Consider the following 22,705-nt stretch of genomic DNA (forward strand, 5'->3'; position numbering starts at 1 on the left):
TGGGAGGACAAGGCGAGCAGATCACTTGAAGTCAGGAGTTCAAGACCAGCCTGGCCAACATGGTGAAACCCTGTCTCTACTAAAAATACAAAAATTAGCCAGGCATGGTGGCACACACCTGTAGTCCCAGCTACTCAGTAATCTGACTCTGGAGAATCACCTGAACCCGGGAGACAGGGGTTGCAATGAGCCAAGATTGCGCCACTGCACTCCAGCCTGGGAGACAGAGTGAGACCCTGTCTTAAAAAAAAAAAAAAATAAGCTGGGGGTGCAGAAGCATCCTTCGGGCCCAGATCCAGAAAAGTTCCCCTGCCCCATCTTCCTTCCTCTGAGGAGCTCACCAACTACTGGATAATTCAGGTGAGACAGAGGTGAAGTGGTGTTGCTCTTGTTACCATATCCAATTCAAAACAGCCTCAGCTAGCAGCAGACTGCTTGTATTTATCAGGAAATGCTGGTCCCCTTGCTTTACCACCTGGTTATTCAAACATCTAGAGCAACAATTTCCATACACTCCATTAGGAATCCTCCTCAATTCAAATAAGCTGCTGCTAGAGATCCTTTTTCCGTGAGCTGGAGGTTTGGTTGAAGATTATCAAGTCTTCCAGGAAAGAAAGGGCAAGTGATGATGGGTTCATACGAATGTCCCAAACTTGCTCCCATTCTATAGTTAAATGCTAGGTGAAGGCTAAGTCTACAACAGGCTAAATAATTAATCTTCAAATTAAGGTTTCTATGGCTCTCTTTGGTCTGCAGAGTGCATGATGATCTAGGAACTGTCAAAGTGAATTGTTCATGCCTGGTGGACACCTCAGCACCAGTCTTGGATTCCCTAAATCTAATTAGCCTGTGGAATATCCAAATAACTCAAGCAGAAATTTATTGACTTAACAAACACTTTTGTGAGTAGCTTTTGCAGGCCACAGATTGTGCTAGCCTTTGATCATGGGAATTCCTGAATCATTTCTCATCTGGGTCTTCCTAAGAAGACGTGGCTCTAAGAAGCTCTTAACCTCTTAAATCATCCTAGGTCTCCCTAGAAACTCAAATTCTTCAGCTACGACTCCCCCCACCTGGGTAAGACTCTCCCTCGGAAAGCCACAAAGAGAAGGAGGAGGACCTGGAATCCCTTTTTCCCTTGAGCCAACTCCCCACACTGAGCTCCTGAGAGCCCCTGAAGAAGCCTCTCTTGGCTGTGACTGCATCCTGGGTTCTGCTTCCTTTGGGAGGATCTGGTTTAATGACCTGCCTCTGGGACTTCACAAAGGGGCAGTCACTGCTTCACAGTATTATGGAGGCCGCATGTTCTTTCCCTCTGCTGATGTTGTTTCAGGTGTTTCTAGGAGGGCATTACCTTCATTCAACATTCCCGATGGCTTCAGTTATCCACTGCTGTATAACAAACTACCCCAAAACTCAGTGGCTTAAAACAAAGATTTATTATTTCTCACAATTCTGGGGGTTGGCTGGGCTCAGCTGAGCAGTTCTTCGGCTCTGTACTGAGTTGCTCAAGGTCACTTGTGTGGCTGCATTTAGTTGGGAGCTTTAGTTGGAATTTAGATGGAACACACAAGATGGCTTCACTTACATGTCTGGCACCTCAGCTGGGGTGGCTTGAGGAGCAGGGAGCTGGTTGAGCGCTCCCTCTCCACAGAGTCTCTCATCATTTAGCAGTCTGGCTTGAGCTTACTTACACGGTGGCTGAATCCCAATAGGCCAAATAGACATTCTCAAGCTTTGTAAAGCGGGAGCCTGGAACTGGCAGAGCATCACTTCTTTTTTTTTTTTTTTTTTTTTTGAGATAGGGTCTCACTCTGTCACCCAGGCTGGAGTTCAGTGGTGCAATCTTGGCTTACCGCAACCTCCACCTCTTGGGTTCCAGCGATTCTCCCACCTCAGCCTCCCGAGTAGCTGGGACTACAGGTGCAGGCCATGATGCCCCGCTAATATTTGTGTTTTGGGGATTTTTTGTTTTGTAGAGACAGGGTTTTGCCATGAACTCCCAGGTTCAAGTGATTCACCTGCCTCAGCCTCTCAAAGTGTTGGGATTACAGGCAAGAGCCACCACGTCCGGCCTTTTTTCTCATTCTTTCAGTCAAATCAAGTAACAAAATCACTTCTGGTTCAAAGAAAGGGGAGACAGACTCCACCTCTTGATGGGAGGAGTGGCATGAGGGAGGAATTGTTGGCGCCATCTTTGAAAACAATTTATTACACTAATGAGAGAAAAGAATTCAGCAAAGGATCAATGTTGTGTGGCTCAGATGACATACAATTGCTATGTTTTTAATGTTAACATTTTCTCATGTGGATCCTTGCAGGGTGTCAAGCAGAAGCAAGCAGAACTCCATTTTATTGGCTACAGTATATTCTCCTTAAAACTAAAGCCCATCAAAATGAAACAATAATGACAGAAAGCAGATCAGCAGTTGCCTGGAGCTGAGGGTGGAGAGGATGGTTGACAGCAAAGAGACATGAGAGAACTTTTTGGGATGACAGAAACATTCTATATCTTGAATATGATGGTGGTCACATAGGCATATACATTTGTCAAAACTCACTGTTCACTTAAAACAGTGCTCAATGTTCTCATTTATTTGTGGGATCTAAAAATCAAAACAATTGAATTCATGAGCATAGAGTAGAAGATGGTGACCAGAGGCTGGGAAGGGTGGTGGGGTGGCAAGGTGAGGAGAGGTAGGGATAATAAATGGGTACCAAAAAAAATAGAAAGAATGAATTAAGGCCGGGCACGGTGGCTCATGCCTGTAATCTCAGCACTTTGGGAGGCAGAGGCGGGCGAATCACCTGAGGTCGGGAGTTCAAGACCAGCCTGACCAACGTGGAGAAACCCCGTCTCTACTAAAAATACAAAATTAGCTGAGCATGGTGGTGCATGCCTGTCATCCCAGCTACTCAGGAGGCTGAGGCAGGAGAATCGCTTGAACCTGGGAAACGGAGGTTGCGGTGAGCCGAGATCACGCCATTGCCCTCCAGCCTGGGCAACAAGAGCGAAACTCCATCTCAAAAAAAAAAAAAAAAAAGAATGAATGAATGAATTAAAACCTAGTATCTGATAGCACAACAGGGAGACTACAGTTAATAATAATTTAATTGTACATTTCAAAAAATAACTAAAAGAATATAATTGGATTGTTTGTAACACAGAGGATAAATGCTTGAGGGGATGGATACCCGGTTTTCCATGGTTTAATTATTATGCATTGCATGCCAGTACCAAAATAGCTCATGTATCCCATAAATATATACACCTACTATGTACCCACAAAAATTTTTAAAAATAAAGTAAAAAATAAAACAGTGCTCTGAGCCTGACCCTACCAGTCCAATTTATTGTATGTAAATTCTACCTCAATGGAATTGTTTCAAAAAAAGTAAAACCTACCTAGTATGAATTTTCAGAAAGGCTAAAAATGTGAAGTGGAGTTAAATAAAGCTGGTGTTAGGGGTATACTATATTTACAAACAATAGCAAATTCCTTTGGGGAGGGAAAGGAAGCAAAAAGCCAAAGGGGATGTTTTGTTAGTACCAAAGCAGGATGCGAGTTAATGTGACCATGTCCCCCTGCTGCAATTGTACTTACAAAACGTTTGCTATCATTTTCAGAATGCTGAGTAGCTGATTTTTGGTATTCTTGGTATTTTATAGATTATTAAAGAGTGGCTACATCCTGCTTCCTTGGGTGCGGGAAGAGCTGGGGTCACCTCAAAGCAGACACAAACAAAAAATGTGGGGGTCACTTGTGTTAGATCATTTGGGATTAAACTAGAGCCAACATTGGAGAAAACTAATTGGTGACCTTTACAGATGTCTCCAGGGATTTCCTAGCTTCAGGAGTCAAGGTCCTGCAAAGCAGGTAATCCCAGTCAAGTATGTACATTATGTGCAAGATCCTGCAAAGCAGGTAATCCCAGTTAAGTATGTATGTTATGTGGGGTCTGAACAGTGTCAAGAAGTGTCAAGGGGCTGGGCGTGGTGGCTCACGCCTGTAATCCCAGCACTTTGGGAGGCCGAGGCAGGCGGATCACCGGAGGTCAGGAGTTTGAGACCAGCCTGACCAACATGGTGAAAACCCTGTCTGTACTAAAAATACAAAAATTAGCTGGGCGTGGTGGTGGGCGCCTGTAATCCCAGCTACTCAGAAGGCCAGGGCAGGAGAATCGCTTGAACCTGCCTCAGGTTTTAGGCGAGGTTTTAGTGAGCAGAGATTGCGCCATTATACTCCAGCCCGGGTGACAAGAGTGAAACTCCATCTCAAAAAAACAAACAAACAAAAAAGAAGTGTCAAGGGAGTGAGGTGCATAGAAGGGGGTGTGCAGGTCTATCTGTAAAGTGTATCCCATCTGGACTCATGGAGACCGTGCCAGGGATTACCGAGCTCTGAAATTCAGTTCTGGGGAAAGAAACTGTCTTGGGAAGGCAGGAGAGATAGTAATATTTAGGTTTTCTTGAGGAGTACAGAAGCTGTCCAATAATGCCCATGTTGGGAAAGCAATATACTTGCCCAAGAAATGAGAAGGGACAGGGATCTTCCCACGGGAGAGAAGAGTGGCTGTGGGGACAAGAGGGCATCACTCAGGGAGCCCGTGGTTGAGAAGGACAGCCCTTGGTCTCCTGTGTTCACTACATACACCAAGTTGTTGGACCCACATCAGCAATGAATTCAACTTATTGCAGCCATATCAGCAACGCACAATTAACACAGGTCACTGGTTTTGTATTACATTGTAATCTTAGTTTCCATCAGAATTCTACTTGAGCTCTCAATTGATAGAGTCATGCTCAGAGCAAACCCTCTGTAGAGCTACATTTTCCAGTGTAATAGATAAAACACACACACCATCAAGGAAGGAAGGACGGGTCCTCGCTATGACAGCTTTCCAGCTTTGCTCTGCTCGACAAAGGGCTCCCTGTGAATGGTCTGTTTCTCCCTAATGTAATTTCCTCATCAATGAATGTCCTTACCCCTCTCCCCCATAAAAACATAATTATGGACACACATTTCTTGGGAAATTGTTCTGCTGAAGGGATGTTGAAAACAATCCGATTGAATACTAACATATTGATTACCACTAGATTATAAATTATTGACAAGGTCTTAACTTTTCCCTTTCTAAAGACTTTTGGGTTAGGATATTTTAGCCTTAAGCCATTTCAGGCAATGGTAATCAGAAAACTCCTCCTCAACAATATCATGGAAGGAAAAGTCCTCACAGGATTAGCATTCTTCAAAGGAAGCTCTGTGTGAGACGAGGCAATCTTACTTGCCCCTTGTAAGATCCAAGAAAACTCATAAACAGCATCCCCCGGAGGGCGTGGGAGCACTTCAGAGGCATGGATTTGATTTTATAGTAGCTGCAACCCCTATGGCCTCCTGAACACATTCATCACCAATGTGTTTCTCCTTCTTTTATGCTTCTTAATTCTCAAAATCCTCAAAATAACATTCAATGTTCTGGTCAATGTTCTTGGTTCAGTGTCTCAAGAGCATCCTCAAAAGTAAAGGCCCAGGATAAAAATCTCATCTGCAGAGATTTTCACACGATACTTCTGGTTTCCAAAGTGCGTATGAACTGTGAAGTGACTCAGAAATACCAACGGCTAATCCTGATAGAGTCCAGAGGGAAAGGATGACTTCATCTGAAGCTGACCCAAGGAGGAAGGCACATCTGTCATCTCCTTGACAGTGTTCCAGGCTGAGCACGAGCTCCTGGAAGCGGCTGTGTGTCAAGGCTCTGCTCACATCTGGCTCCTCATCTGTGAGCCTTCTTGGCCCAGACTCAGGGGACAGGAAGGGAGGGGAGGGAGAGGAAAGCCAGGAGGACTTCAGGCACCTCTCCCCAAACTGAAATAGCAACTGGCTATCCCTGGGGGAAAGTGGCTCTGAGAGAGTGCTCCTAGCACCTCCCTCACCTGCATCTGAGGAAACTATGCCAGTCATCCCTCACCTCTCCTAGATGGGCCCTTCTGAAGCCCACCTGGAAACCCCATAGTCACTTATTCTCTGGACATGGTCCCCCTCCACGGCCACTCTAGGACTAAAGAGCACCAGCTGTTCTGTGGTTGCTGGGATGCTCTGCAGCTGTAATTACAAACTAATGTGCACTTTGGCTTCCATTTCCTGATCTTGCTGAATGATTCTGGCTGTCTGGAAAAGCAAAATGCTTCACCTTCCAGCACTAACACTGACAACCTTGCCATAAGGTATGTATCAGTCAGAGTTCTTAGTGGCAAATGAAAGAATCCACAGTACAAGATTAAGTAGCAAACAGATTCATAGAAGGATACTGTGTGGCTCACAGGATTTCCAGAAAGGCCAGCAAATCAGGCCTGAAGGCTCTACAGCCTGGAACAATACCCAGATCATCCTCCCACCACTGCTGAGTGCAGGTGCACACTTTAGATACTGAGATGGGACACCACAGCCAGGACCTCTGCCCCTGCTGCCCCTGAGATCTCAGTGACTGCTCCACAGAGCCCCTGGGAGAGGAATCCTCCAGGGGCCTTCTCACTAAGGTGCATATGATGGTGGGGAGGCCCAGGTCAAGTGTTTGTGTCCTAGCTGCAAGAGATACTGGGAAACGCAGCATGGCCTGGAAGTGCCTAAAAATAGGAAAGGAATTTATTCAAAAGATATTAAGCATACGCAAATATGACACATGCTTATTCTACATGGCTCCCTCATTTTAGTTACTGTGGCCAAAAAATAGGCATATATATATTATATATAATATACAATATAATAGGGATATATATATTTAATCTGCTACTTGTCTTTTAAAAAGGTGAGATGGTGCAGCTGGAGTGTACTGGCTTCCTACTGCTGATGTAACAACTTATCACAAACTCAGTAGCTTAAAACAGCACAAATTTATTCTCTTGTAGTTCTGGAGGTCAGAATTTTAAAATCAGTTTTGCTAGGCCAAATCCAAGGTGTGGGCAAGCTGGCATTCCTTCTGGAGGTTCTAGGAGAATGTTTCCTTGTCTTTTCATCTCCTTGGGGCCTTCTGCATTCCTTGGCTCCTGGCCCCTTCCTTGCATGGCCCCTCTTGTTTCAGTCATCACATCTCCTATTACTCTCTCAGATCCTCCTGCCTCCCTCTTATAAGGACCCTTGAGATTACATTGGCCCCACCCAGATAATTCAGGATGAGCCCCCTCACCTCAAGGTCTTTGACTCAATCACACCTGCACAGTCCCCTATATGGTAACATGGTCACAGGTTCCAGAGATTCAGGGTGTGGACATATTCGGGGTCATTATTCAGCCTGCCCTGGTGTGTCTCTAAGGAAGGCCAGCTGGCTGTCTACACAAAGGCCCTGAGACCAGAGTTCCTCTGGTGAGTTTACCAGAGTCTGGGCTTCATCCTTGCCAGTATCTCAGACTTGGAGATGTTAGCTTGGAACCACTAGATACCGGCGACATTGTCGGATAAACTGGAATTCCAATGAATTCATTTATTCCTTTTTATCAGGCACTATTCCTTTCCAGAAGGGTCTGCCTGGTGTTTGAACACCTGTGTGGCCAAATGAACAATCAGAATGCTGTTCGGTGAACATGAACATGAACATGAACTTGGCGGTGGGTGTTGCCAAGGGGTGTTTCACCCAGGTAGCAGGGAAGACAGTGAGCCATCCTGACTGACAACAGAACTCACCTTTCTACAGGCCAGATTCTGCATTTTTCCCTAAGCAGAGCTGGATACAACTCCCAAACTCTAGCTTTTTCCCTCTTGTACCATGAGCCAGGATCCTAGAATCATCCTCAATTCCTCCCTCACACTCCACATTCAATCCAACACCAAGTGCCATCTTTTCTTCCTAAGTATCTCCCATATTCAACCACAGCTTAAAATCTCCTCTCCCACACCCTACTCCAAGCCGTCTCACCTGGATCACTGTAACAGCCTCCAAATGGGCCTTCCCGCCCCTACTTTTGGTCCCCTCTGTCAAATTCTCTACCCAGCAGCCAGACTGAGCTTTAATCTAATCATGTCACTTCCTCATTTAAAGCTCTTCAATGGCTTTACAGTACCATTAGGGTAAAGCCTCCTGTGTTAGTTCAGATCCTCCCAGAAGCAGACACAGAGTACAGTGGCGCAATCTCGGCTCACTGCAACCTCTGCCTCCTGGGTTCAAGTGATTCTCCTGCCTTAGCCTCCTCAGTAGCTGGGACTACAGGTGTGTGCCACCACGCCTGCATGCAAGGGTTTTTTCTGGGGAAATTGTGACAGAAATGTGGAAGGGAGCTGCAGGAGTCTGGGAGACCCATCCAGTGTGATGTGAGTCTGGCCCCACAGGAAGGGGAAGGTGAGAGTGGAGGGTAGACGTAGTCTGCCGACCCTGAAGTCTAAGGAAAGTTCAGCAAACCACCATGGAATCCTTGAGCCAAAGCTAGCGACAAAGGATTTCTGTCCCTAGGGGAAGCCTGGCTTTGGTGTGAGTGGCAGGAGCCCCTGGTCAATTTTGCTGCCCAGAGTTAGAGGTCTACAAGGTGCGTTCCCCTGGCCACCATGCTCCCAATCCTCATCTCATCTCTGGCCCACCTCTTCCGTTCCTGCTGTGCCAACCCAACTTACTCTTTCCCATATGTGAGTCTTTGTAAAGGCTGTTTGCTGTGCCCGAATTACTCATCTTCTCACCTCCCCTGTCCCCTTTCCCTTCCCCCAACTCACTGATACTTCAGCTGAAACATCACTTCCTCCAGGAGACTACCCCATCCGTCTCCCACGTGCTCCCACAGCCTGGATCCTTCTCCATCCACATTCCTCATCTCCTGTGTTTAATGCCTAACTCCATCCTCAGATGTGAGACTTTAGCAGGCAGGAACTGTGACTATTTTATCCACTGCCATATCCCCAAAGCCTGGCATATAATAAGTGCTCAGTAAAATATTCATTGTTGAGCCAGCAAGGTCACCTGAGTCTGGCAGATGCAAGGAAAGAATGTCACAGTTTTGAGAGTAGTCAACCATGGAGGCTCGGAAAAGGGAAGCATGGAGGCAAACTGGCAGAGTCCATCCAGGCATTAGCAGTCGGTTGAGCTCAACATCATGAACGCTGATTTGTGCCATAGAGCATCTACTATGTGCTAGGTGCTGGTAGCTAACCAATGAATAGAACCTCTTAAAGTGTAATATGGCACGGGTACGACTAGCTGGGGCCATGGTCGCAGGTGGTAAAGGAATTTACCAAGACAGTTGTAGGTAAAGAAAGGCGGATTATAAGAGGAAGTATGAAAATACCTTGCAACGTTGCAATGGGCAGCACAGCAGAGAAGCGTCTGTCTGCCAAGAGGTGGGGGCCTGGAGGGAAATTTTACAGGGCCGTGCTGGAGGGGGCTATGTGCTGAATGAGGACATTGTGCCCCCAGAACAGGCCATTGTTTGTGATTCTGATTTGTGTTTCTCAGAATGATTGTTCATTGTTCTTCCCCACCTGGGGCCCCTTCCTCTTGTTGCTTACTTATCTAATCAGGACTTCACCTAAGGAATTGTGTAGTCAGTCTAGGGGAGAGACAATGCTGTCAGCCTACTAAAAACCAACTCTTCCAGCAGGTGTATGTGCACCTATTGTTAAAGGTGATGGCAATAATATGTAACTGATATTACAACAGTTGGTCTGATGTGGCAAAGACACTGACAAATTTGAACAGATGCCAGTCATTAATAACTGGTGTAGCCATGGGGAAGATTCCAGCTGAGTATTGGCTGACTGAATGCAGGCAGAGAGCCGTGCCATTTCCACTGGAATCTACCTCTTGCCATACTTGTTCTGACCCATGACCACCAAGGAAAGCCCCCGGCGCCCTGCCCCTGCCTGTTTGGTTGGTCATGCGGACACAAATATCTGATCTTATTTCTCATTTTAAGTGATGGCTTTATGCATCATTCTCTTGTGAGCTTCTTGAGTCCCCGCACCACAGAGCCATGGACAAAATAGAGTTTCTCGGCATGCAAGACCAAGGTCTGAAACCTGGGCCCTGGTACCTACCTTCTTTAGGGCCAGGCCAACTTGTGAGCCCCCTTCCTACAACCCCAGACCTCTCTGTGCTGACAGACAGCTCTCTTTGATGGCTGCCATTGGCACTGGGGAGTTGATACTTGAATGGGGGCGGGTGGGGTGGCCTCTCAGACTGTAGGCTCGGGAGTAGCCCTTCCAAGAGGCTGACCCTGATAGTTGAGTCAAACTGGTGACAGAATTGATGTGAGAGCTTGACAGCAGACCTAGGGCAGATAGCTAGGGGCTGCTAACCAGAGACTTAGTAATTAGCATGCAAATTGAGCAAGAAGGTGATCAAAGCTGGGAAGTGGAGGAAATTAGATGTCTGCTTCTGCCGGCATTCTCATACACGCTGAAGAGGCAGTAGTTTGTCCAGCTGTGTGTCTTAAAGATACCATCTGTGTCAGTCTCAGAGGTGCCAGGAGCCCCTCTCCCAATTACCTGTCATCTCTGCATCAAATTCTCCAAAGTGGATTTTGTTGTGGTTGTTGTTGTTGTTGTTTTGAGATGGAGTCTCGCTCTGTCGCCGAGGCTGGAGTGCAATGGTGCGGTCTCGGCTCACTGCAACTTCCGCCTCCCGGGTTCAAGTGATTCTCCTGCCTCAGTCTCCCAAGTAGCTGGGATTACAGGCGCCCGCCACCGTGCCTGGCTAATTTTTGTATTTTTAGTAGAGACAGGGTTTCACCATCTTGGCCAGGCTGGTCTTGAACTCCTGACCTCGTGATCCACCCGCCTCACCCTCCCAAAGTGCTGGGATTACAGGCGTGAGACACTGCGCCCGGCCTCCAAAGTGGATTTTTGCTCAATATGTTCTATTCCCAGCTGTCTCAGACATGGGTGGGGTAATGACTGATTCCTAAATCCGTTGACCTCAGCTTTTTTTTTGACACAGGGTTTCCCTCTGTCGCCCAGGCTGGAGTGCAGTGGTGCAATCACATCTCACTGCAGCCTCAACCTCCTGGGCTCAAGCAATTCTCCCAGCTCAGCCTCCTGAATAGCTGGATCTGCAGGCCCGCACCACCATGCGTAGCTACATTATTTATTTATTTTGTAGAGATGGGGTCTCCCTATGTTGCTCAGGCTGGTCTCATACTCCTGGGCTCAAGCGATCCTCCCGCCTCGGGCTCCCAAAATGCTGGGATTTACAGGCATGAGCCGCCAGGCCCGGTGACCTCAGCTTTTACCCAGCACCATCAAAGCAGGACGCACTGCACAAACCTGAACATTAGCTGTTGTCTAGCTGCCGGAGTATGCCTGGGGAACAGTCACAGTTGTTGCAGCTACACAGCATGTGTGCGTTTGTGAGTCTGGAGTTGGAGTTGAGTGAGACCCTGATACTAGGGAAAGAGACGGAAAGCCAGACTCTTACTTAAGGGCTTCTATCGCAGGAGGGAAGATTTCTTCCAAGAGCTCAGTGCAATAAATGAAAGAAATTTAGAAGGCTGCCAGGCTCAGGGCAGCCCCGGAGCATCAGAAGTAGGAGGCTGAGGGTCGGGAATGGGGAGCAGGGGTTAGAACTGAGGAAGCAGGGGTTAGAACTGAGGGGTTGCTGAAGACACCACCACGTTTCAGAACTCAGGATAGGGCCTGCCTGGGGACTCGCACAGAGGAGAAGGAACCGGTAGTCTAAAATACTAAAACGTGTGGAATTCCTGCATGGAGGCTTCCTACTGGGAGTGTAAAATTTCTGTGAGAACTGTAAGAAGTAAGCAAACAGCATCAGAGGACATGAGCCCCGTGGAAAGTGCCTCAAAGTGTGGTTTGAGGATTACCCGCCTGAGACTCCAAAGAGGTGTTTGCCAAAAAAGGCAGATTCTTGGGCCACACCCGGCTCTATGGAGTGGGAAGCGCTGAGGGTGGGGCCTGGGCGCCTGCTCTCAGAACTGGTGCCGCTGAAAGCTTGCAGAGCCCAAACGCTGCGAGGAGGTCGCACCAGCAAGTGAGGAAGCAGAAGGGATGGCTTCCTGCGCCTCCCACACAATTTTCAACTTTTCAGGAAGTACCATAGGAGAAGTCAAGGTAGATGAATACGTTTTTCTTTGGTCCCTAGCATTTTTCTTTTAAAATTTTATTTTCCTTTTGAAAAAGAATGTGAGAACAAAGTCTGAGAACGAATGTGAGAACGAATCTCGAAACGTGAGAAAAAGGCCTTCTTCCCCCCCTCCACCTCCCCTGCGTGGTCCTTGGGTGCTCTGTGAACGGTGACCCCACCCTCACAGGGACCCTGACTCCTGAGGGGTCACCACTCATATCCTGTGAGAGACTACGCTATTCCCTGATTCAGCGGGGTCTCCAGGTCTGAACGCCCAAGGCCAACACAGAGGCCTAAAAATAGAGCCCGGGAGGCCCAGTCAAACCGGAAGAGAGCCAGAGGCCTCCCTGGAGTCCCGAAGACGATCTGAACCAAGGAGCCCAGCGCCCTCTAGCGGGAGACAAGCTGCTTCGCGGCCCTGGTCTCCGGTCAGAGGCACTGGGCTGGGGCTGAGCACTCCGAGGCGGAAACCAAAGGGTGTGCCCCTGGGGACACCGCCTCAAGACCCCTGACTGAGGCTCCAAAAGGAAAAATTGTGCCACTTGTGTTTTACGAACTTCAACGTAATTGTAGGATACATTGCTGTAATGTATAATGTTGTAATAATGATTACCTTCTATAACCACAGATTTTTATATTTATTTATTTATTTATTTTTGAGACAGAGTCTTGATCTGCCACCCAGTCTGGAGTGCAGTGGCACGATCTCAGCTCACTGCAACCTCCGCCTCCCGGGTTCAAGCAATTCTCTGCCTCAGCCTCCTGAGTAGCTGGAATTACAGGCGCCTGCCACCATGCCCAGCTAATTTTTGTATTTTTTGTAGAGACGGAGTTTCACCATCTTGGCCAGGCTGCTCTTGAATTCCTGACCTCGTGATCCACCCGCCTCGGCCTCCCAAAGTGCTGAGATTACAGGCGTCAGCCACCGCGCCTGGCCGACTTTTATTTCTTTACTTATTTACTTATTTATTTATTTTCTGAGATGGGGTCTTGCTCTGTCGCCCAGGCTGGAGTGCAATGGCGTGATCTCAGCTCACTGCAACCTCTGCCTACTGGGTTCAAGTGATTCTCCTGCCTCAGCCTCCCCAGTAGCTGGGATTACAGGCACGCACCACCATGCCCGGCTAATTTTTGTATTTTTATTAGAGATAGGATTTCACCATGTTGGCCAGGCTGGTCTCAAACTCTTGACCTCAGGTGATCCACCCTCCTTGGCCTTCCAAAGTGCTGAGATTACAGGCGTGAGCCACTGCCCCTGGCCTAGCATCACAGACTTTAGACCCTTTTCATTACTTCTCAGTGAGACCAAGGTTCCTATCACTAAATTCACATGCACATAACATATAACCTGGAAGGGTACCCAAGCACCTCCGACAGCTGCACCAAGATTCCATCTGGGAAAGCTGTTCTCTGGGGGAACATACAACTTTGGGATGGGTGCTCAGGAGCCTTAATAGCAGAAAAGGACCCCTTGCAAGTCAGAAAATTTGGCTGAATCATTCCAGGCACTCTCTGAGGGGGCAGATGTCTCTGCTGGCTAATTGTTCCCCCACCTGAAGACATCAACTCAGTTTTCCCTAAGTCAGAGAGAAAACATACTCCTACTGTACATATTTCGAGAAAGGAAATATACAGCTGAACACTGAAGTGCCCAGTTAGGCTTTGAAGAAAAGGATTGTGGCCGAAAGACACCAGGCTTTTAATAAAAGCTAAAAAGCAAAAGTGTATACCACCTCACACCCATGCGGATGGTGACTATTAAAAAACTAAAGAAAGAAAGAAAATAAGTGTTGGTGAGGATGGAGAAATTGGAACTCTTGTCCTCTGTTAATGGAAACGTAGAATGGTACAGCTGCTGTGGAAAGCAGTATGTCAGTTCCTCAAAAAATTAAAAATGGAATGACCATTCAATTCGGCAATTCCACTTCTTTTTCTTTTTTTTTTTTTTTTGAGACGGAGTCTCGCTTTGTTGCCCAGGCTGGAGTGCAGTGGCACAATCTTGGCTCACTGCAACCTCTGCCTACCAGGTTCAAACGATTCCCCTGCTTCAGCCTCCTGAGTAGCTGGGATTACAGGCACCTGCCACCACGCCCGGCTAATTTTTGTATTTTAGTAGAGACGGGGTTTCACCATGTTGGCAAGGCTGGTCTCAAACTCCTGACCTCATGTGATCCGCCTGCCTCGGCCTCCCAAAGCACTGGGATTACAGGCGTGAGCCACTGCGCCCGGCCCCAATTCCACTTCTGAGTGTGTAACTACAAAAATTGAAAGCACAGTCTCAAAGAGATAGCTGCACACCTTTGTTCATAGCAGCATCATTCCGAATAGCCAAAAGGTGGGGGCAACACAAATGTCCCTCAACAGAACAACAGATCACCAAAATGTGGTGTATACCCACAAAGGAATATGATTTGCCCTTTAAAAGGATGGAAATTGAGCCGGGCATGGTGGCTCATGCCTGTAATCCCAGCACTTTGGGAGGCTGAGGTGGGTGGATCCCTGAGGTCAGGAGTTCGAGACCAGCCTGGCCAACATAGTGAAACCTTGTCTCTACTAAAAATACAAAAATTTAGCTGGGCATGGTGGCGGCGCCTGTAATCCCAGCTACTCAGGAGGCTGAGGCAGGAGAATCGCTTGAATCTGGGAGGCGGAGGTTACGGTGAGCCGAGATCATGCCATTGCACTCCAGCCTGGGCGACAAGAGCAAAACTCTGTCTCAAAAAAAAAAAAAAGATGGAAATTCTGCTGGCACGGTGACTCACATCTGTAATCCCAACACTTTGGGAGGCCAAGGTGAATGGATCATGAGGTCAGGAGTTCAAGACCAGCCTGCCTAACATGGTGAAAGCCCGTCTCTACTCAAAATACAAAAATTAGCCGGGCATGGTGACATGAGGCAGGATAATCGCTTGAATCTGGGAGGTGGAGGCTGTGGTGAGCCAAGATTGTGTCACTGTACTCCAGTCTGGGCAACAGAGCAAGACTCTGTCTCAAAAAGAAAAAAAAAAAGGATGGAAATTCTGACAAATCCTACAACACAGATGAACCTTGAGAACACATTACACTAAGTAATTTAGGTCAGACACAAAAAGATAAATACTGTGTGAGCCCACTTATATGACATACCTAGTCATGAAAATCATAGAGACAGACAGCAGAATGATGGCTGCCAGGGGCTGGGGGGAAGAGAATGGGAGTTATTGTTCAATGGGGATGGAGTTTCAGTTATGCAAGATGAAAGGTTCTGGAGAACTTTGAGTGATAATGATGTGTCAGTGTAGGTTCACTGATCATAACGAGTGCAGCACTCTGGTGGAAGATGTCAAGCAGGGGATCTGTGCACCTGTGGGGATAGTGGGCACATGGGAACTCTGTACTCTGCTCTCAATTTTTCTGTGAACCTAAAACTGTTCCTTTAAAAGTTGTGACACTAAACTGCTCTTTAAAAAGTTTAATAATTTGTCTGGGCGTGGTGGCTCACACCTGTAATCTCAGCACTTTGGGAGGCTGAGGCAGGCAGATTACCTGAGATCAGGAGTTCGAGACCAGCCTGACCAACATGGAGAAACCTTGTCGCTACTAAAAATACAAAAAATTAGCAGGGAGTGGTGGCGCATGCCTGTAATCCCAGCTACTTGGGAGGCTGAGGCAGGAGAATTGCTTGAACCCGGGAGGCGGAGGTTGCGGTGAGCTGAGATTGCACCATCGCATTCTAGTCTGGGCAACAAGAGCAAAACCCTGTCTCAAAAAAAAAAAATGTTTAATAATTTTCTTTAAAAAGTTCTAGAGATGGATGGTGGTGATGGCTGCACAATAATGTAAATTTCCTTAATACTATTAAAACTGTACACTTAAAATGGTTATGATAGTAAATTTTATGTGTATTTTATCACAATTAAAATTTTAAAATAAATAAAGTAAAAAACAAAAGGCGGAGGGACAGATAGGCTAGAAAGGGACTGTAATTTAATAACCAGAGAGTACTGCGCATTTAGAAATGTCATCAATAGGAGTTATAGTCATTTGGGGATATATATTTTTAAGTATTTTATATTAACATGAAATCATTTGGAATTTCAAAAACAATTTTAAATAAAAGTACACAAGAAAGAATGCTTATCAGACAAAGTCAGGGAGGATGGCACAGGCAGAAAGAGGAAAGCAAAGGCAAATAAACATTTTAGGACCTTTGTTCTGAAGGGATTATTACTGGGGGCCTAGAGGAGAAAGTTGGGACAGAAGGAAGATGGTTCAAAGAAGGAGGGAACTCAGCCCTCCCCTAGGATCCAGGTGAATCACTGTTCCTGTTCTGAATCATCCAGGCAGGAATGTGGTTATTTTGTTGTTGTTGTTTTGAGACAGGGTCCCACTCTGTCTCCCAGGCCGGAGTGCAACCTCCACTCCACTGCTCACTGCAGCCTCTGCCTCCCGGGTTCAAGCAATCCTCCTGCCTAAGCCTCCCGAGTAGCTGGGATTACAGTCACGTGCCACCATGCTCGGCTAATTTTTGTATTTCTTGGTAGAGATGGAGTTTCACCATTGGTCAGACTAGTCTTGAACTCCTGACCTCAGGTGATTCGCCTGCCTCAGCCTCCCCAAAGTTCTGGAATTACAGGTGTGAGCCCTGTGCCCGGCCTAAAGTGTTGTTGTTTTTTTTTTTAGGCTTGGAAATTGTGGTGAAAGAAGCTACGAATGAGATAAATGTGTGTTCTTTCCACCCCTAAAAACAGTGTCACCACCACTCATCCTTGAAACCATCAGGTACAGGCAGGAGAGGACAACAAATTTGGAAAAAAAGAATGTGGAAATGGAGACACAGGCTTGACATCGTTTGTTTTTCACTTTCCAGCAGCAGGGAAACCTGTGAGCGACGTTCACGTCTAGTGTCCAGTGCCTTGCGTGGTCCCAATCACAAACCCCTAGCTCAGGGGCAGCGGGGCCATGAACTAGGGAGGCCGCCGTAATGACAGCCTGGCAGGAACCCTATGTCCAAACCAGAGGAGCCCCCTCAGAGCAACCTCCACAGGCAGTGCTGCTGTCAAGGAAATGCCAGAGCCGGGTGGTAGTTAACATGGTAAGAGGAGACTTCATTCAGGACCATTGCAGTAGGGGAAACAGGTCCTCAGTATAGAAGTGGGCTCAATTCAGAATACAGCATAAGCAACTGGGACTCTACAGGCAAAGAGCAAGGTGAGGCTGGGTGGGTGGAAAATTACATCAGGGGTAAGGGGTCCTAGTTCAACCAACTCTGAGAATATAGAAATAAACTCAGTTTCTCCCATTATAGCCTCATAACACACTTCTGACACCAGCTGTGGGGAGGATTTTCCCCACACCTCGAGCGAACAATCAATTCTGCAGTGGACCTCCACTTGGTCCTCCAACTGGGTATTCTCCAATTCAATTCTGACATTATCCACCTGAGTGTCAGATCCTGCAGGGTGAGGGATCAGTCTCCATGACTGCCCCCCGACTTTCAAAGCCAATTGGAAGCCCCAAGTTCTTTAACCTGTCCTTCAATGAACAGCTCTAAATTAAGCTATAAACTGAGGTTCCCATGGCTCCATCTTCAGGTTCCACTAATTTGCTGGAGCAGCTCACAGAACTCAGGGAAACATTATATTTACATTTATGGGTTTATGACTGTCAGGTCTCTGAGCCCAAGCTAAGCCATCATAACCCCTGTGACCTGCACGTATACATCCAGATGGCCTGAAACAACTAAAGAACCACAAAAGAAGTGAAATAGCCAGTTCCTGCCTTAACTGATGACATTCCACCATTATGATTTGTTCCTGTCCCACTCTAACTGATCAATTGACCTTGTGACATTCCTTCTCCTGGACAGTGAGTCTCAGGGGCTCCCCACCAAGCACCTTGTGACCCCTGCCCCTGCCTGCAAGAGAAAATCCCCTTTAACTGCAATTTTCCACTACCTACCCAAATCCTATAAACCTGCCCCACCCCTATCTCCCTTTGCTGACTCTCTTTTTGGACTCAGCCCACTTGCACCCAAGTGAAAATAAACAGCCTTGTTGCTCACACAAAGCCTGCTTGGTGGTCTCTTCACACAGACAAGTGTAACATTTGGTGCCGAAACCTGGGACGGGGGACTCCTTTGGGAGACCGGCCCCCTATCCTCACCCTCACTCCGTGAGGAGATCCACATATGACCTTGGGTCCTCAGACCAGCCCAAGGAATATCTTGCCAATTTCAAATCAGCTAAGTGGTCTCTTCACTCTCTTCTCCAGCCTCTCTTGCTACCCTTCAATCTCCCTATCCTTCCAATTCCAGTTCTTTTTCCTCTGTAGTAGAGACAAAGGAGACACATTTTATCTGTGAACTCAAAAACTCCAACGTCAGTCACGGATTTGGGAAGACAGTCTTCCCTTGGTGTCTGATCTCCATGGGGACGCCTGCCTTGATCATTCACCCACATTCCATTGGTGTCTGATCTCCGTGGGGACGCCTGCCTTGATCATTCACCCACACTCACTTGGTGGCAGGTCAATTATGGGGACGCCTGCTTTGGCTGCTCACCCACATTACAGCCCAGGGCTGCTCATCCCCCACCTCCCCCACCACTTCTCCATGTCTCTACCTTCCTCTTTAAACTTACCTCCTTCACTATGGGCAACCTTCCACCCTCCATTCCCCCTTCTTCTCCCTTAGCCTGTTTTCTTAAAAACCTAAAACCCCTTTGACTAACACCTGACCTAAAACCTAAATGTCCTATTTTCTTCTGTAATACCGCTTGGCCCCAATACAAACTCAAAAATAGTTCCAAGTGGCCGGAAAACAACACTTTCAATTTCTCCATCCTACGAGATCTAGATAATTTTTGTCGTAAAATGGGCAAGTGGTCTGAGGTGCCTGACGTCCAGGGATTCTTTACACATCGGTCCCTCCCTAGTCTCTGCTCTCAATGCAACTCATCCCAAATCTTTCTTCTTTCTCTCTCTTGTCTGTTCCTTCAGTCTCCACCCCAAGCTCTGAGTCCTCTGAATCCTTTTCTATGGACCCATCTGACCTCTCCCCTCCTCCCGAGGCTGCTCCTCGCCAGGCCAAGCCAGGTCCCAATTCTTCCTCAGCCTCCACTCCCCCACCCTATAATCCTTCTGTCACCTCCCCTCCTCACACCCAGTCTGACTTACAGTTTTGTTCCACGACTAGCCCTCCCCCACCTGCCCAACAATTTCCTCTTAGAGAGATGGCTGGAGCTGAAGACGTAGTCAAGGTTAATGCTCCATTTTCTTTATCCGACCTCTCCTAAATCAGTTAGCGTTTAGGCTCTTTTTCATCAAATATAAAAACTCAGCACAGTTAATGGCCCATTTGGCAACAACCCTCAGATGTTTTACTGCCCTAGACCCAGAGGGGCCAGAAGGCTGTCTTATTCTCAATATGCATTTTATTACCCAATCTGCTCCCGATATTAGAAAAAGCTGCAAAAATTAGATTCCGGCCCTCAAACCCCATAACAGGACTTAATTAACCTCGCCTTCAAGGTGTACAATAATAGAGAAGAGGCAGCCAAGCAGCAACATATTTCTGAGTTGCAATTACTTGTCTCTGCTGTGAGAGAAACTCCAGCCACATCTCCAGCACACAAGAACTTCAAAACGCCTAAACCACAATGGCCAGGCGTTCCTCCAGGACCTCCTGCCCCAGGATCTTGCTTCAAGTGCTGGAAATCTGGCCGCTGGGCCAAAGAATGCCTGCAGCCGGGGATTCCTCCTAAGCCATGTCCCATCTGTGCAGGCCCCACTGGAAATAGGACTGTCCAATTCACCTGGCAGCCACTCCCAGAGCCCCTGGAACTCTGGCCCAAGGCTCTCTGACTGACTCCTTCCCAGATTTTCTTGGCTTAGTGGCTGAAGACTGACGCTGCCCGATCGCCTTGGAAGCCTCCTGCACCATCACAGACACTTCAGGTAACTCTTACAGTGGAGCGTAAGCCCGTCCCCTTCTTAATCGATACGGAGGCTACCCACTCCACGTTACCTTCTTTTCAAGGGCCTGTTTCCCTTGCCTCCATAACTGTTGTGGGTATTGACGGCCAGGCTTCTAAACCTCTTAAAACTCCCCAACTCTGGTGCCAACTTAGACAACATTCTTTTATGCACTCCTTTTTGTTATCCCTACCTGCCCAGCTCCCTTATTAGGTCGAGGCATTTTAACGAAATTATCTGCTTCCCTGACTATTCCTGGGCTACAGCCACACCTCATTGTCACCCTTTTCCCCAGTTCAAAGCCTCCTTCGCATCCTCCCCTTGTGTCTCCCTACCTTAATCCACAAGTATGGGATACCTCTACTCCCTCCTTGGTGACCAATCATGCACCCCTTACCATCCCATTAAAACTTAATCACCCTTACCCTGCTCAATGCCAATATCCCATCCCACAGCATGCTTTAAAAGGGTTGAAGCCTGTAATCACCCGCCTGTTACAACATGGCCTCTTAAAGCCTACAAATTCTCCTTACAACTCCCCTATCCTACCAGTCCAGAAACCAGACAAGTCATACAGGTTGTTTCAGGATCTTCACTTTATTAATCAAATCGTCCTTCCCATCCATCCTATAGTGCCAAACCCTCCTATCTTCAATACCCCCTTTCACAACTCAGTATTCTGTTATCGACCTCAAAGACACCTTCTTTACTATCCTCTTGCATCCCTCCTCCCAGCCTCTTTCCGCCTTTACTTAGACTGACCCTGACACCCACCAATCCCAACAACTCACCTGGACTGTTCTGCCCCAAGGCTTCAGGGACAGCCCACACTACTTTGGCCAGGCCCTTTCTCATGATCTGCTTTCTTTTCGCCCGTCTGCCTCCCACCTTATTCAATAGTTTGATGATCCTCTTCTTTGCAGCCCCTCTTACCAATTTTCCCAGCAGGACACTATCCTGCTTCTTCTACATCTCTACTCAAAGGGGTACTGAGTATCCCCCTCCAAGGCACAAATTTCTTCCCCTAGCGTTACCTATCTTGGTATAATCCTCCATCAACATACATGTGCCATTCCTGCAGACTGTGTTCAGTTAATCTCCCAGACCCCAATCCCCACCACCAAACAACAACTCCTTTCCTTCTTAGGCATTTTTTGGTATTTCCAACTCTGGATACCAGGCTTTGCTATCCTAACCAAACCACTTTACAAGCTCACAAAGAGTAACTGAACTGATCCCATAGACCCTAAGTTTTTTCCCTATTCTTCCTTTCGCTCTCTCAAAAAGGCCCTGGAGACAGCTCCCACACTAGCATTCCCCGACTTGTCCCATCCTTTTTCCTTACACACAGCTGAAATACAAGCCTGTGCTGCTGGAATCCTCACACAGGAGCCAGGCCCACGACCTGTTGCCTTTCTATCAAAACAACTTGACCTCACAGTTCTGGGCTGGCCCTCATGTCTGTGTGTGGTGGCAGCCACTGCTTTAATACTTCTAGAGGCCTTCAAAATCACAGGCTATGCTCCACTTAGCCTTTACAGGTCTCACAACCTTCAAGCATTAATATCCTCCTCACATCTTTCACACTTATTACCTGCCGCTCGACTCCTCCAGCTCTATTCACTCTTTGTTGAAACTCCAACAGTAACTATTACCCATGGGCCCGATTTCAACCCGGCTTCTCACTTAGCACCCAACACAAGTCCTGAACCACATGACTGTATTTCAAGGATAGAGCCCAAAAACTTGCCAACCAAGCAAATAATTATGCTGAACCCCCTTGGGCACTCTCTAATTGGATGTTATGGGTCCTCCCAATTCTTAGTCCTTTAATACCTGTTTTTCTCCTTCTCTTATTCGGACCTTGTGTCTTCTGTTTAGTTTCTCAATTCATACAAAACCATATCCAGGCCATCACCAATCATTCTATATGACAAATGCTCCTTCTAACAACCCCACAATATCACCCCCTACCCCAAAATCTTTCTTTAGTTTAATCTCTCCCACTGTCGGTTTCCACGCCGCCCCTGATCCTGCTTGAAGCAGCCCTGAGAAACATGGCCCATTATCTCTCCATGCCACCCCCAAACATTTTCGCCGCCCCAACACTTCACCACTATTTTGTTTTGTTTTTCTTATTAATATAAGAAGACAGGAATGTCAGGCCTCTGAGCCCAAGCTAAGCCATCATAACCCCTGTGACCTGCACATATACATCCAGATGGCCTGAAGCAACTAAAGAACCACAAAATGAGAAATAGCAAGTTCCTGCCTTAACTGATGACATTCCACCATTGTGATTTGTTCCTGCCCCACCCTAACCGATCAATTGACCTTGTGACATTCCTTCTCCTGGACAATGAGTCTCAGGAGCTCCCCACTGAGCACCTTGTGACCCCCACTGCTGCCCACAAGAAAAAACTTTTAACTGTAATATTCTACTACCTACCCAAATCCTATAAAACTGCCCCACCCCTGTCTCCCTTTGCTGACTCCTTTCTCGGACTCAGTCCACCTGCACCCATGTGATTAAAAAGCTTTATGGCTCACACAAAGCCTGTTTGGTGGTCTCTTCACACGGACGCATGTAACATTTGGTGCTGAAACCCGGGAAACCGACAGAAGCAATGCATGGGGTAAGGGATGTGGGAGGGTGCAGAGCTTCCATGCCCTCCCTGAATGTGCCAACCTCCGGGAA

At 47.3% G+C, this 22,705-nt stretch overlaps 1 long non-coding RNA gene across 1 annotated transcript, besides 2 other annotated features; it reads left to right on the forward strand.

The window, feature by feature from the left end:
* Positions 9,305–9,444: an enhancer, noted in NCBI's record as "active region_2672". NCBI's record gives its function as "activates an Ori minimal core promoter by ATAC-STARR-seq in GM12878 lymphoblastoid cells {active_cell/tissue: GM12878}" and the evidence as "EXISTENCE:reporter gene assay evidence [ECO:0000049][PMID:35858748]".
* LOC124904530 (uncharacterized) lies at positions 11,896–18,102 on the forward strand. Its single transcript, XR_007066909.1, has 2 exons — positions 11,896–12,041; positions 16,717–18,102. It is a non-coding gene; the product is annotated as an uncharacterized LOC124904530 (long non-coding RNA).
* Positions 12,284–12,578: an enhancer, noted in NCBI's record as "tiled region #12356; K562 Activating DNase matched - State 5:Enh, and HepG2 Activating DNase unmatched - State 12:CtcfO". NCBI's record gives its function as "activates a minimal TATA promoter and a strong SV40 promoter by Sharpr-MPRA in K562 cells, with weak activity in HepG2 cells {active_cell/tissue: K562 | HepG2}" and the evidence as "EXISTENCE:reporter gene assay evidence [ECO:0000049][PMID:27701403]".
* Positions 18,103–22,705: the final 4,603 nt, after the last annotated feature.

The sequence above is a fragment of the Homo sapiens genome, chromosome 1 (genome assembly GCF_000001405.40).
Source record: "Homo sapiens chromosome 1, GRCh38.p14 Primary Assembly".
Classification (NCBI taxonomy): Eukaryota; Metazoa; Chordata; class Mammalia; order Primates; family Hominidae; genus Homo; species Homo sapiens.